General features: G+C 41.3%; 1 pseudogene; it reads left to right on the top strand.

Moving 5' to 3' along the window:
- On the top strand, positions 4,654 to 5,431 carry PRELID3BP3 (PRELI domain containing 3B pseudogene 3; annotated as a pseudogene).

The following is a 14,962-nucleotide window of genomic DNA, read 5'->3' on the forward strand; positions in this document are numbered from 1 at the left end:
CTTTTTTTTTTTTTGTGATACGGAGTTTTGCTATTGTTGCCCAGGCTGGCGCGATCTCGGCTCACCGCAACCTCCGCCTCCTGAGTTCAAGTGATTCTCCTACCCCAGCTTCCCGAGTAGCTGGGATTACAGGCATGCATCACTGTGCCTGGCTAATTTTTTGTATTTTTAGTAGAGACGGGGTTTCTCCATGGTGGTCAGGGTGGTCGCAAACTCCCGACCTCAGGTGATACATGCGCCTTGGCTTCCCAAAGTGCTGGGGTTACAGGTATGCACCACCGTGCCTGGCCCAAAAATGTCCAAGTTTCAACTGAAAATCACTAATCATACCAAGAGCCAGGAAGTTCTCAAATGAAATGAAGAAAAGCCAATCAATAAATGCCAATACCAAGATGACAGAGATGTTAGAATTATATGACAAAGATGTCAAAGCAGCCATTACAAAAATGCTTCAAAAGCAATTCTGAACACACTTGAAACAAATTAGAAAGTAGACAGCCTCAGGAAACAAATATAATATATAAAGATGAACCAAATGAAAATTTTAAAACTTAAACACAATAACTGAAATTAAAAAGTCAGTGGTTGGACATAATACCAGGATAGAGAGGGAACAGAGAAAAAAATCAGTGGAAGGAAGATAGAATAATAAAAAGTACTCAATCTTAACAACAAAGTACCCAAAGGAATAATGGCTGAAAACGTCTCAAATTTGGTAAGAGACAAGAAGATGGGCAAACCTCAAAGAAGACAAAGCCCAAATAAATCTATACCAAGACACATTATAATGAAACTTCTGAAACCCAGAGACCAAGAGAAAAATCTTAAAAGCAGCCAGGAAAAAAAAAAAAAAAACACCCAGGGAAAAAACCTATTTGAATGACAGTGGATTTCTTATCAGAAACCATGGGGGCCATAAGTAAGTGGTACAGTGTTTTTCAAGTGCTGAAAGAAAAGAACTGTCAATCCAGAATCCTATAGTTAGTAAAAATATTCTTCAGAAATGAAGAGGAAACCAAGATATTCTCAGATGAAGAAAAACTAAATTTTTCACCAGCAGAATTACTCTAAAAGAATGGCTAAAGGAAGTTCTCTAAACAAATGAAAAAACAGAAGAGGGAAATTTGGAGCATCAGAAAAGGAAGTGATAAAAGAAAACTTGGAGCATCAGAAAGAATACAATAAGCAAAAAAGGGGGAGAGTAAACACAATAGTTTTTCCTTCTATTCTTCAGTTTTTGTTTTGTTTTGTTTTGTTTTGAGACGCTCTGTCACCCAGGCTGAAGTGCAATGGCACAATCTTGGCTCACTGCAACCTCTCCCTCCCGAATTCAAGCAATTCCCCCTGCCTCAGCCTCCCAAGTAGCTGGGATTACAGGTGCCCACCACCATGCCAGGCTAATTTTTGTTTTTTTTAGTAGAGATGGGGTTTCACCATGTTGGTCAGGCTGGTCTCGAACTCCTGACCTCAAGTGATCTGCCTGCCTCGGCCTCCCAAGGTGCTAGGATTACAGGCGTGAGCCACCGTGCCCAACCTATTCTTCAGTTTTTTAAAAATATATTTAATAGTTGAAGTAAAAATGACATGTTTTATATGGTTCTAAAAGTATGCAGAGGAAATATTAAGACAATTGTATTATAAATAGTGGAGGGCAACAGGATTTAAAGGGAAACACAATTTCTATATTTCATTTAAACTGGCAAAATAATGACACTAGTAGACTATAATGGGTTATGTATATATAATGTAATACCTACAGCACTACCTAAAAAGCTATACAAAGCTTTTCAAAAGTTATCCAAAATGCTGTAGATAAAATGAAATTTTAACAGAAGTATGAGTAACCCACAGGAAAGCAGAAGAAAGAAAACAGAGAAATGAAAAATAGAACAAACAGAAAGGAAAAAATAAAATCAGAGATTTAAGGCCTAACACATCAATAATTACATTAAATGTAAGTGGTAGAAGCAGGTCAACTTTAAAAGAGAGAGATTGGCAGAGTGGATTTTAAAACACAACCCAACTGTATACTGTCTATGAGAAACTCACTTCAAATATAATGATATAGGAAGGTTAAAAGCAAAAGGATAGAAAAATATGTCATGCAAACATTAATCAAAAGAAAGCAAGGGTGGCTGTATTAATATCAGATAAAGCAGACTTCAGAGCAAAGAAAATTTCCAGAGACAGAGAGAGCCATTATATAATGATAAAAGGGTCAATCCACCAAAAAGACATAGCAATCTTAAATGTGTATGCACCAAACAACAGAGCTGCAAATCACATGAAGTAAAACTGATAGAACTGAAAGGAGATATACACATATCCAGTTAAAACTGGAGAAAGATAACAGGAAAATCTTCAAACTAAAGAACACACATCTAAATAACAAAGGAGTCAAAAAAGAGATCTCAAGGGAAATTAAAAAATACATTGAACTGGGTGAAAATAAACATACCATGTGTCCAAATTTGTGGAACGCAGCCAAAGTAATACCGAGAAGGAAATATATAGCACTAAATGCATATGTTAGAAAAGAGGAAAAGTCCAAAATCAATCTATGATCCCCCTGTAAGAACGTAGTAAAAGATGAGCAAAATAAATCCAAAGTGAGAAGAAAATAATAATGAACAAAAATCAATGACATTGAACACACACACAAATGGAAAAATCAATTAACCAAAGATCTGATTTTTTGAAAAGATCAATAAAATTGACAAACCTCTAGCAAGACTGACAAAGTAGGAAAGAAAGACACAAATTGTCAATATCAGGAAGGAAATAGGTGAAATCACTATAGACACTGCAGACATCAAAAGGATAATAAGGGAATACTACGAACAACTCTAAATATTATAAATATGACAATCTAGATGAAATGGACCAATTCCTGGAAAAACACAAAGTACCACAACTCTTCAATAGGAAATAGATAATTTGAGTAACCCTACAACTAAAAAGAAATTGAACTTATAATTTTAAAACTCCCTAAAAGGAAATCTCCAGGCCCAAGTTGTTTCACTGGAGATTTCTACCAAACACTTAAAGAATTACTAAACCAATTCTTGCCTGGGTGCAGTGGCTCACGCCTGTACTCCCAGCACTTTGAGAGGCTGAGGCAGGCGGATCACTTGAGCCCAGGAGTTCGAGAACAGCCTGCGCAACATGGCAAAACCACATCTCTACAAAATATACATATATAAAATTAGCCGGGCATGGTGGCATGAGCCTGTGGTCCCAGCTACTCAGGAGGCTGAAGCAGAAGAATCACCTGAACCGGGGAGGCAATGGTTGCAGTGAGCTAAGGTCACACCACTGCACTCCAACCTGGGTAACAGAGCAAGACCCTGTCTCATAATTAAACCAATTCTACATTCTCTCTTTCAGAAAATACAAGAGGAGCGAGCACTTCCCAATATTGGCAATATTTTATAATGCCGATATTACCTTAATACCAAAACCAGACAAAGACAACACAGAAAAGAAAACTACAGACCAAAATCATTAGTGAATATAGATACAAAATTCCTTAATAAAATATTAGCAAGTAGAATTCAGCTATATTGTAAAAAATGTACACACTAAGACTAAGCAGAGTTTTTTTCAGGGATGCAAGCCTGGTTCATCATTCAAAAATCAGTCAGTGACCTCCACTATATTAACAGGCTAAAGAAGAAAGATCACATAATAATATCAATAGATTCAGAAAAAGCATTTAACAAAATTCAACAGTTATTCATGATAAAAACTCCCAGAAAAACAGGATTAGAAAGAGACCACCTTACTTGATAAAGAGCATCTATATGAAAAAATAGAACAAACAGAAAACAAAAAATAAAATCACAGATTTAAGACCTACAGATTTAAGACCTACAGCTAACATTTTACTTAATCATGAAAGACTGAAGCTTTCCCCCTAAAGTTGGGAACACGGAAAGGACGCTGCTTTTATCACTTTTATTGAACATAGTGCTGGAAGTCCTAGCCAGTGCAATAAGGTAAGAAAAGAAAGTAAATGGCATACAGTTTGGGAAGAAAGAAATAAAACTATCCCCATTTGCAGATGATGTAATTGACCACATCGAAAATCCAGAAGAATCTGCCAAAAAAAAAAAAAAAAACACCTCATGGAACCAATAAGTGAGATCAACAAGGTTGCATGACATGAGATGAACATATGAAAAAAATTATATTTCTACAAACTAGCAATGAACACGTGGACATCTAAATTAAAAATGTAATATTAACAATCGCTCAAAAATATGAAATAGGTATAAATCTAACAAGACAAGTACAGGACATTTATGCTGTAAATTATGTAATGTGATGAAAAATAACAAGATCTAAATAAAGGGAATAATAGTCCGTGTTGGTGGATTGGAGACTCAACATAGTAAAGATATCAGTTCTCCCCAAATAGATATAGTGGTTTAATGTAATTCCCATTAAAAACTCAGCAAGATCTTTTGGTAGCTGTAGACAAGATTATTCTGGAATTTATATGGAAAGTCCAAACAAAAAGCTAAGGGGCAAAACCCGGGCTGGGATAGGGCATGAGGCAGTGCGTTGGGACATCCCTTGCATCAGGCTCAACGGTGTCTGTCACTGTGTGGCTGGCTGGGATGCTTGGGGTGGGTCAGGGGCAGGTGTAGCCTCTTTGCCTCATTGTCCCCTAGCACCACAGGCTGCCAGCACCATGAAGTTATGGACTTTGGCACACGTCTTTGACCACCTGTGGGAAATTGTTACAACAGTTGCAATGCAGAAATATCCAAACTCTATGAGCCTGAGTGTGGTTGGAGTTGATGTGTTGGACAGACATATAGATCCCTCTGGTTCCCTTCTCAGCACAGAGAGGGGGCTGCTTCCATTGTGAAGTCTCTAATTGGTGCAGCAAGAACCAAAACATATGTGCAAGAACATTCTGTAGTTGATCATGTAGAGAAAACAATGGAACTTAAATCTACTAACATTTCATTTACAAATAAGGTTTCAGTAGATGAGAGACTTATAGAAAAGCCACATCCTCGGGACAGAAAAAAAACTATTTTGACTCAAGAAGCCATAATCACTGTGAAAGGAGTCAGCCTCAGCAGTTACCTTGAAGGACTGATGGCAAGGCTGAGAAGCAATGGAATGGGTAATACACAAATTAAATGCTGAGATTGAAGAACTGTTGGCCTCTGCAAGAGGAAGCATAGGGACTCCGATGGCAGCAGCAGAGCATTTGCAGAGAAATAATCATGAAAGTTGTTAGACAACGTCAGTTACCCCAGGTCTCTCCAAGCTAACTATATATTTATTTGTTATTTTAAAAATAGAACTATCTTTTAGGTAGAATTTTTTTAAAATATGCTGATGTAAGGCTATGTGACTTTTGATCAAAACAAAGAGATGCAGGGCTTCTAAATAAAAGTGATCATTAGAAATTTTTAAAAAGAAAAGCTAAAACAATTTTGAATAAGAAGAGTAATGGGGGAGTAATCAGTCTACCCAATTTCAAGGCTTACTCTGAAGCTACAGTAATCAAGACTGTGTAGTGCTGGCGAAGAGAGAGACACATTAGACACATATATTAATGTAATAGATTAAAGAATCTAGAAATAGACCCCTACAGATATGTCCAGTGGATTTTTGACCAAGATGTAAGAACAGTTCAATACAGGAAAGATAGACTTTTCAACAAATGGTGTTGGAGCAACTGGATATTCATAGGAGAAAAAAAAAAAAGGAACTTGGCCTAACTCACACACCTTATACAAAAATTAACTCAAAAGATTGTGAACTTAAATGGGAAATGTAAAACTATAAGATTGTTTAGAAAAAATAGGAGAAAATATTTGGAATCTAAGCTTATGCAAAGAGATTTTAGATTTGACCCACAAACGGGATCCAGAAGAGGAAAAATTGATATACTTGATGTCATCAAAATAAAAAAATTTGCTCTGAAAAGACCTCATTAAGAGGATAAAAGCTCCCTATTCAATAAATGGTGCTGGGATAACTGGCTAGCCATAGGCAGAAGATTGAAGCTGAACCCCTTCTTTATACCATGTACAAAAATCAAAGTCTTTAATCCAACTTTAAGATGAATTAAAGACTTAAATGTAAAACCCAAAATTATAAAAACCCTGGAAGACTACCTAGGCAATACCATCCTGGACATAGGAACTGGCAAAGATTTCATGACAAAGACATCAAAAGCAATCACAACAAACGCAGAACTTGACAAATAGGATCTAATTAAACTTAACAGCTTCTGCACAGCAAAAGAAACTATCAACAGAGTTAACAGACAACCTACAGAATGGGATAAGATATTTGCAATCCATGCATCTGACAAAGGTCCAATATCCAGCATCTATAAGGAATTTAAACAAATTTACAAGAATAAAACAACCTCATTAAAAAGTGGGCAAAGGATATGAACAGACAATGTTCAAAAGAAGACATACCTGCAGCCAACAAGCATATGAAAAAAGCTCAATATCGCTGATCGTTAGAGAAATGCAAATCAAAACCAAAATGAGATACCATCTTACACCAGTCAGAATGGCTATTATTAAAAAGTCAAAAAGTAACAGATGCTGGTGAGGTTGGAAAGAAAAGGGAACACTTATACACTGTTGGTGAGAGTGTTCAACCATTGTGTAAAGCAGTATGGCAATTCCTTAAAGAGCTAAAAGCAGAACTACCATTCAACTCAACAATCCCATTACTGGGCATATATCCAGAGAAATATAAATCATTCTACCATAAAGACACATGTGAGGCCAGGCGCGGTGGCTTACACCTGTGATCCTAGCACTTTGGGAGGCCGAGGCGGGCAGATCACGAGGTCAAGAGATCGAGACCATCCTGGCTAACACGGTGAAACCCCATCTCTACTAAAAATACAAAAAATTAGCCGGGCGTGGTGGTGGGCGCCTGTAGTCCCAGCTACTCGGGGCAGAAGAATGGCGTGAACCCGGGAGGCAGAGGTTGCAGTGAGCCGAGATCGCACCACTGTGCTCCAGCCTGGGCCACAGAGTGAGACTCCGTCTCAAAAAAAAAGAAAAAAAAAAAAGACACATGCGTATATGTTCATTGCGGCACTATTCAAAATAGCAAATACATGGAATCAACCTAAATGCCCATCAATGACAGATTGGATACAGCAAATGTGATACATATACACCATGGAATACTATACCACCATAAAAAAGAACGAAATCATGTCTTTTGCGGGAACGTGGATGGGGCTGGGTGCTATTATCCTCAGCAAACTAATGCAGGAACGGAAAACCAAATATCGCATGTTCTCGCGTATAAGTTGGGGAGCTAAATGATGAAAACTTATGAACACAAAGATGGGAACAACAGATACTGGGGCCTACTTGATGGTGAAGGGTGGAGGGTGGGAGGAGGGGGGAGGAGCAGAAAAATCACTATGGGTACTAGGCTTAATACCTGGGTGACAAAATAATCAGTACAACAAGCCTCTGTGACATAAGTTTACCTATATAACCAACCTGCACGTGTACCCCCAAACCTAACATAAAAGTTTTTTTTAAAGAGGATAAAAAGACAAGTTATGTGCAAATTTCTGTAGAGAAAATATTTGTAAGCTACATATCTGACAAAGGACTAGTACTGGAATATATAAAGAACTCTCAAAACTCAACAGTCAAAAAAGCAAAAATCCAATTAGAAGGTAGAGAAAAGACATGAAGAAGATAATACAGATGGCAAATAAACACATGAAAAGATGTTTAATATCATTAGCCATTAGGGAAATGCAAATTAAGGCCACAATGAGATACCACTACATGCCCATCAGAGTAGCTAAAATGCAAAACAGTGAAAACACCAGATGCTAGCAAGGACACTGGATCACTCATACATTGCTGGTGGAAATGTAAAATGGTACAGCCACTCTGGAAAACAGTTTGCCAATTTCTTTAAAAATTAAACATGCAGGCTGGGCACGGTGGCTCACGCTTGTAATCCCAGCACTTTGGGAGGCTGAGGCAGGTGGATCACCTGAGAGGTCAGGAGTTCAAGACCAGCCTGGCCAACATGGTAAAACCCCGTCTCTACTAAAAATACAAAAAAAATTAGCCGGGTGTGGTGGCAGATGCCTGTAATCCCGGCTACTCGGGAGGCTGAGGCAGGAGAATCCCTTGAACCCAGGAGGAGAGGTTGCAGTGAGCTGAGATTGCGCCACTGCACTCCAGCCTGGGCAACAAGGCGAGACTCCATCTCAAATTAAAAAAAAAAAAAGAAAAAAAATTAAACATGCAGCCAAGCACAGTGGCTCACGCCTGTAATCCCAGCAGCTTGGGAGGCTGAGGTTGGTGGATCACTTGAGGTCAGGAGTTCAAGACCAGCCTGGCCAACACAGTGAAACCCCATCGCTACTAAAAATACAAAAATTAGCCGGGTATGGTGGTACATGCCTGTAATCCCAGCTACCCCAGAGGCTGAGGCAGGAGAATCGCTTGAACCGGGAAGGTGGAGTTTGCAGTGAGCTAAGATTGCGCCACTGCACTCCAGCCTGGGCGACAGGGGGAGACTCCATCTCCAAAAAAAAAAAAAAAAAAAAAAAAAAAAAAATTAAACATGCAACTACCATACAATCCAGCAATCACACTCTTGGACATTTATTTCCCCAAAATGAAGACTATATTCACACAAAAACATGTACATGAATACTAACCCTACTTGTATTCATTATAGTAAAAACTAGACACCCAGATGTCCTTCAGTAGGTGAACAGTGAAACAAACGATGGTCCATCTGGAATACTTCTGAGCAATAAAAAGGAACAAACGATTGATAAACACAACCACCCCTGGATGACTCTTGAGAGAATTATGCTGAGTGAATAATAAAGTCAATTGCAGAAGTCTATATACTGTATAGTTTTATTTACATGACATTCCTGAAATGACAAAATTATAGAAATAGACTCATGGTTGCCAGGGGTTAAGGAGTGGGGAATGGGAGGGAAGTAGACACGGTCATAAGAGGGTAACATGGGGGATCCTTACGGTGATAGAAATGTATCCTTTGAGTCCAGATTTCAGCTGGTCTGCAGCAAGGACTCTCCCAGCGGTAGGGAGGCTCACTCAAAAAGTCATGGCCCAGGGCCGGGTGTGGTGGCGCACACCTGTAATCCCAGCACTTAGGGAGGCCAAGGCAGGCAGATCACAAGGTCAGAAGTTTGAGACCAGCCTGGCCAACATGGTGAAACCTCGTCTCTACTAAAAATACAAAAAAATTAGCTGGGCGTGGTGGCGGGTGCCTGTAGTCCCAGCTACTGGGGAGGCTGAGGCAGGAGAATGGCGTGAACCTGGGAGGCGGAGCTTGCAGTGAGCCGAGATCGCGCCACTGCACTCCAGCCTGGGCAACAGAGGAGACTCAGCCTCAAAAAAAAAAAAAAAAAAAAAGGCATGGACCTAACACCGTAGATGATGGGGGCGGCTGTTATACAGGCTTCATCTGAGTGTTCTGTGGCTCCCACATCCAGCCTGGTATGAAATTTTGGCAACGTTAACAAAACAACAACAAACAATCTATGTCTTAGAGATACTGAAGAATATACAGGTGGGACAGCTGATGAGAAATGCTGGATTCCATGCTAAGGAGTTTGGTTTGTATTTTGCAGGCAAAGGGCATCTATTGAAGGATTCTAAGTAGAAATAGTTACAAGATCAGATTTGTAATTTTGAAAGGTCATTGGGTTTTGTCCCAGTGGCGTCCTTAATAGCAAAAGAAAGTCCTGAATCGCGGGTCGTGCTCTGTTGTCACTTCTCCCTTTAATCTGAAATGCTTCCTCAGTGTTTTCGTCGTCCTTCATGAACTTGACATTTTTAAGGGTCTGGCTGGTTATTTTGAAGAATGTTCCTCGATTTGGGTTGGTCTGAGGTTTCTTCACGATCAGATTCCGCTTATGCCTTCTGACACAAATACCGAGAAATAATGCGGTGTCCTTCCCCACACATCATATCGGATGACAGCTTCCATTCATTGTGGCATTTAGATCACTCAGTTAAGTTGGTGACTTGTCAAATACCTTTATTGCAAAGTAATTATTTTTCTCTTTGCAATTATAAATTCATTATCTTCCTTGTGGAGCGATATTTTGAGACAATTGTAAATATCCCGTTACTCCTCAAATTTTTACCCTCTAGTTTTAGGAAGACTTTATGATTCTTGCCTGAATCATTTAATACTATCATGGTTGCCAAGTTGGCAATTTTCTACATCTGTCATTCCTTCTATATTTATCAGCTGGCTTTCTTCTGTAAAGCAGAACTTTCCCTTCTCCCCCACTTATTTACTTAAATATGCACAGAGAGAGAGAGAGTGGCGGCGGGGGGACATGTATTCTCATTTTATTCAATGAATCCCTTGACTTTCCATCATTCTGCATCGTGTTATTATGTTTTAGGTGTTTCTCTTACAAACAACATATAGATAAATTTTTTCCAGATTGACTTTTTTTCTTTTTCTTTTTTTTTTTTTTTTTAGACAGGGTCTTACTCTGTCACCCAGGCTGGAGTGCAGTGGCGTGATTTCGGCTCATTGCAACCTCCGCCTCCTGACCTCAAGTGATCCTCCCATCTCGGCCTCCCAAAGTGCTGGGATTACAGGTGTGAGCCACTGCACCCAGCCTCAGATTGACTTTCTAATCTTAAAACAGTAAGTTTTTCATGTATATGTGTTGTGAAAATAATATATATGGATTTTTTATGCAAAAAAGTAGATTTACATATGTTCAAGTAGAAAAATATCTAAAATGTGATCTTAAGGGGAAAAGTTGCAGGAAAGTGTGTGTAAAATAAGCCCATCCATGAGGGGAAAAGGATATGTGTACCTCTACTTTCATAGTCATAAAAATTTCTGGAAGGTCACACAAGAAGTGGGTTAACATTGGTTACTCTAAGAAGGTGGCTGGGGGGTAGAGGTCTATTTCTAGCTTTGTATATTACTGGAACTTTAACATCTGTGAACAGGTTTTACTTAGACAATTCAAACGCCTGATGTTTGCCTGCTCACAGCCTTTGACAGATACAGACACTTGCACGGCCATGTGGTACCCGAGGCTGTTAGAGTTAATTCCAGGCTGGATGCCACATAAGCAGGTGAGATGCGGGGCCAGGGGAGGCCCCTGACAGAGGAGGACATCTGAGTGAAGTTCCAAAGTGAGGTGTCTCAGCTTCGTGGAAAGCATGTAAGCACTGATGTTAGGCAAGCCCAAATTTGAGGCTAGCTACTCACTCCCTCTGTGAACTTGGGCAAACTTATGAGCTTCTGCAAGTCCTACGGGATTGCTGGGAGGATTAGAACTGATCATATCTGTGGCTGGGCATGATGGTTCACGCCTGTAATCCCAACACTTCGGGAGGCAGAGGCTGGTGGATTACCCAAGGTCGGGAGTTTGAGACCAGCCTGGCCAACATGATGAAACCCCATCACTACTAAAAATACAAAAATTAGCCAGGCGTGGTCGTGGGCGCCTGTAATCCCAGTTACTGGGGAGGCCGAGGCAGGAGAATTGCTTGAACCCAGGAGGTGAAGGTTGCACAGAGCCAAGATTACATCACTGCATTCCAGCCTCGGTGACAGAGCGAGACTCTGTCTCAAAAAAAAAAAAAACCAAAAAACAAAAAGATAGTATCTGTGAAGGGCACTGAAGAAGTACTGGTGTAAACATCTAATATATTTTTGAAAGATGAGGAGGTGGCAACAAAAAGAAGAAGGGGGTCCAAGAAGGGAACAGCACGTAGTGTGCTGGGCCCGAGCTGTGGGTGTTGGCCTGGGGCAAGTGTAGAGAGACACAAGGACAGCTTATGACAAGCATTAAATCCCACGCTAAGAAGTTTGGTTGTATTTTGAAGGCAAAGGGCATCTACTGAAGGATTTTAAGTAGAAGTTGTTACAAGGTCAGATTTGTAATTTTGATAGGTTATGGGCCGCAAATTGAGGGCCAGGGTGGAGGGTTAAAAGTGAAATTAGGTAAGCCAATTAGAAAATTGTAGTAATCTGGAAGGCAGATGAAGACGACCTGAACTAAAGCATTTAGCTATGAAGGACGTGGAAACCATTAAGACCTAACACCTGTTGGATGCAACAGTCAAGGGGAAAGAAGGAAAAAACCAGAGAACTTTTGTCTGAAGCAACTGTGTGTATGGTGGTGAGTGCAGATAGACAGATAGAGGAATGGATCAGGAGGAAAGAAGAGTCCAGTTTCAGGTATATTGAGTTTAATGTGTCTTTGGGGTTTTTCATTTTTTGTTTTTTTGAGACAGAGTTTCGCTCGTTGCCCAGGCTGGAGTGCATGGCGTGATCTCGGCTCATTGCAACCTCTGCCTTCTGGTTTCAAGTGATTCTCCTGCCTCAGCCTCCAGAGTAGCTGGGATTACAGGCGCCCACCACCATGCCCAGCTATTTTTTTTTTCTTTGAGATGGAGTCTTGCTCTGTCCCCCAGGCTGAAGTGCAGTGGCGCGATCTCGGCTCACTGCAACCTCTGCCTCCCAAGCGATTCTCTTGGTTCAAGCGATTCTCTTGCCTCTTGGTTCAAGCGATTCTCTTGCCTCAGCCTCCCAAGTAGCTGAGACTACAGGCAAGTGCCACCACGCCCGGCTAATTTTTTGTATTTTTAGTAGAGATGGGGTTTCACCATGTTAGCCAGGATTGTCTTGATCTCCTGACCTCGTGATCCACCTGTCTTGGCCTCCCAAAGTTCTGGGATTACAGGCATGAGCCATCACGCCTGGTCCCAGCTAATTTTTGTGTTTTTAGTAGAGATGGGATTTCACCATGTTGGCCAGGCTGGTCTCGAACTCCTGACCTTGTGATCCACCCGTCTCGGCCTCCCAAAGTGTTGGGATGACAAGCATGAGCCACTGCACCCGGCCCAATTTTTTTTTTTTGTTTTTAGAGACAGTCTTGCTCTGTTGCGCAGGCTGGAGTGCAGTGGCAAGATCATAGCTCACTGCAGCCTCGAACTCCCTGGCTCAAGCAATTCTTTTGCCTCAGCCTCCCCAGTAGCTGGGACTACAGGTGTGCTCTACCAAGTGCAGCTAATTTTTTTATTTTTGTAGACACAGGGTTTCACTATGTTGCCCAGGCTGGTCTCGAACTCCTGGCCTCAAGCAATCTTCCTGCCTCGGCCTTCCCAAAATGCTAGGATTACAGGCATGAGCTACTATGCCTGGCCTTAAGTCTTTGAATCCTATAACTGGTGATGTGGTAAGCTGCTAGATCTGTGAGGCTTGTACTTAAAGGGAAAAGCCTGTGCTGGCATTAAACACTACTTTGTTAGTGCTTGAGAGGATGGATGGCCAGAAAGGCCGTGGTTATTTTGGGTAATGGTCAAGCATGCCAGGGTTAAGACACCTGGTAGATGACTAAGTCTTAAGATTCTAAATAGAAGGCTGATCGCAAGTGTCAGTGTCAGCAACAATCAAGACATAAGGGTGTGTTAGAAGCTTCAGGATGACACCAGGAGGGCTTTGCTCAGAGTTAGGAACACAAAAATGACCAGATTTTTTTTTTTTTTTTGAGATGGAGTCTTGCTCTGTTGCCCAGGCTGGAGTGCAGTGGCGCAATCTCAGCTCACTGCAATCTCCGCCTCCCAGGTTCAAGAGATTCTCCCCGCTCAGCCTCCTAAGTAGCTGGGATTACAGGTACACACCACCACGCCCAGCTAATTTTTCTATTTTTAGTAGAGACAGGGTTTCAACATGTTGGCCAGGCTGGTCTCGAATTCCTGGCCTCAAGCGATCCTGGTGCTTGGCCTCCCCAAGTGCTGGGATTACCGGCATGAGCCACCACACCTGGCCAGTAGCCAGATGATTTTGAATGTCTCCAGCAAAAGCCTGAATTGTTTGTGCTTTCAAGGGGAACTAGTAACATGACAGCAGGCAGATCACAAGGTCAAGAGATTGAGACCATCCTGGCCAACATAGTGAAACCCTGTCTCCACTAAAAATACAAAAATTATCTGGGCATGGTGGCACGCACCTGTAGTCCCAGCTACTCGGGAGGCTGAGGCAGGAGAATCGCTTGAACCCGGGAGGCGGAGGTTGCAGTGAGCTGAGATCGCGCCACTGCACTCCAGCCTGGCGACAGAGCGAGACTCTGTCTCAAAAAAAAAAAAAAAAAAAAAAAAAAAAAATTCAAGAAGCCAGACTTTTCCTTTTCAATAGGCACCGAGCTCTATGTCACTAATGGGGCAAATGGGGCTCTTTTCTGTGGACGAATGGATGCCTTCCCATGGTTTCCAACCTGGGTCCCTAGAGGAGAGGATTCCTCATCATCCATGGATCCTCTCAGATTGCTCAGTTGCATGATATTAGATGCATGTGTGCATTTTCTGGGGCGAAAGGCCCCCAAATCATGACCGCAGCCACTGATCCTTTTCTTTCTCTTTCTTTTTCCACCTTCCTATTTCCCGTTTTTTCTTCTTTCTTGCCTGTATGCCTTGTGTTTAATAAGCCATGGGAGGAATTTGCTTACTCCACTGTCTCGCCCTGATCATCCCACATATGGCTAAAGTGACTGCTGACTCCTGGTCTAGAATGGTGCTTTCCAATCTTTAAAAATGCATGTATAATAGAACTTCCTCTGACCTGTTTGTTTTATGAAAGAAAATTTTGAATGGATCTTTATAGAAAACCAACTTAACAAAATAAAAGGAGCAGTTATGTATGCAGAGGGGGAAGTCTGGGCCCCACCCACCAGGCCATTCCACGGACCCTGAGGGACCCCCAGAGTTCTGTGGAATCCCAGGTTTGAAAACTACTGGTCTAAAGCCAGGTGTTGGGGCAGAAATCCAGAGAGTAATTCCAGAGAGTTCCCCAAGGGAGGAGCACCCAAGTCCTCGAGGAGCCACATGGTTAGTATATTTCTGACCTGCGAGGTTTAAAAGCCTATCCTGACGGGGCAGCTTGAGGGGCTCTGGCTAGCCTT

The sequence above is a fragment of the Homo sapiens genome, chromosome 17 (assembly GCF_000001405.40).
Source record: "Homo sapiens chromosome 17, GRCh38.p14 Primary Assembly".
NCBI classification, from domain to species: Eukaryota; Metazoa; Chordata; class Mammalia; order Primates; family Hominidae; genus Homo; species Homo sapiens.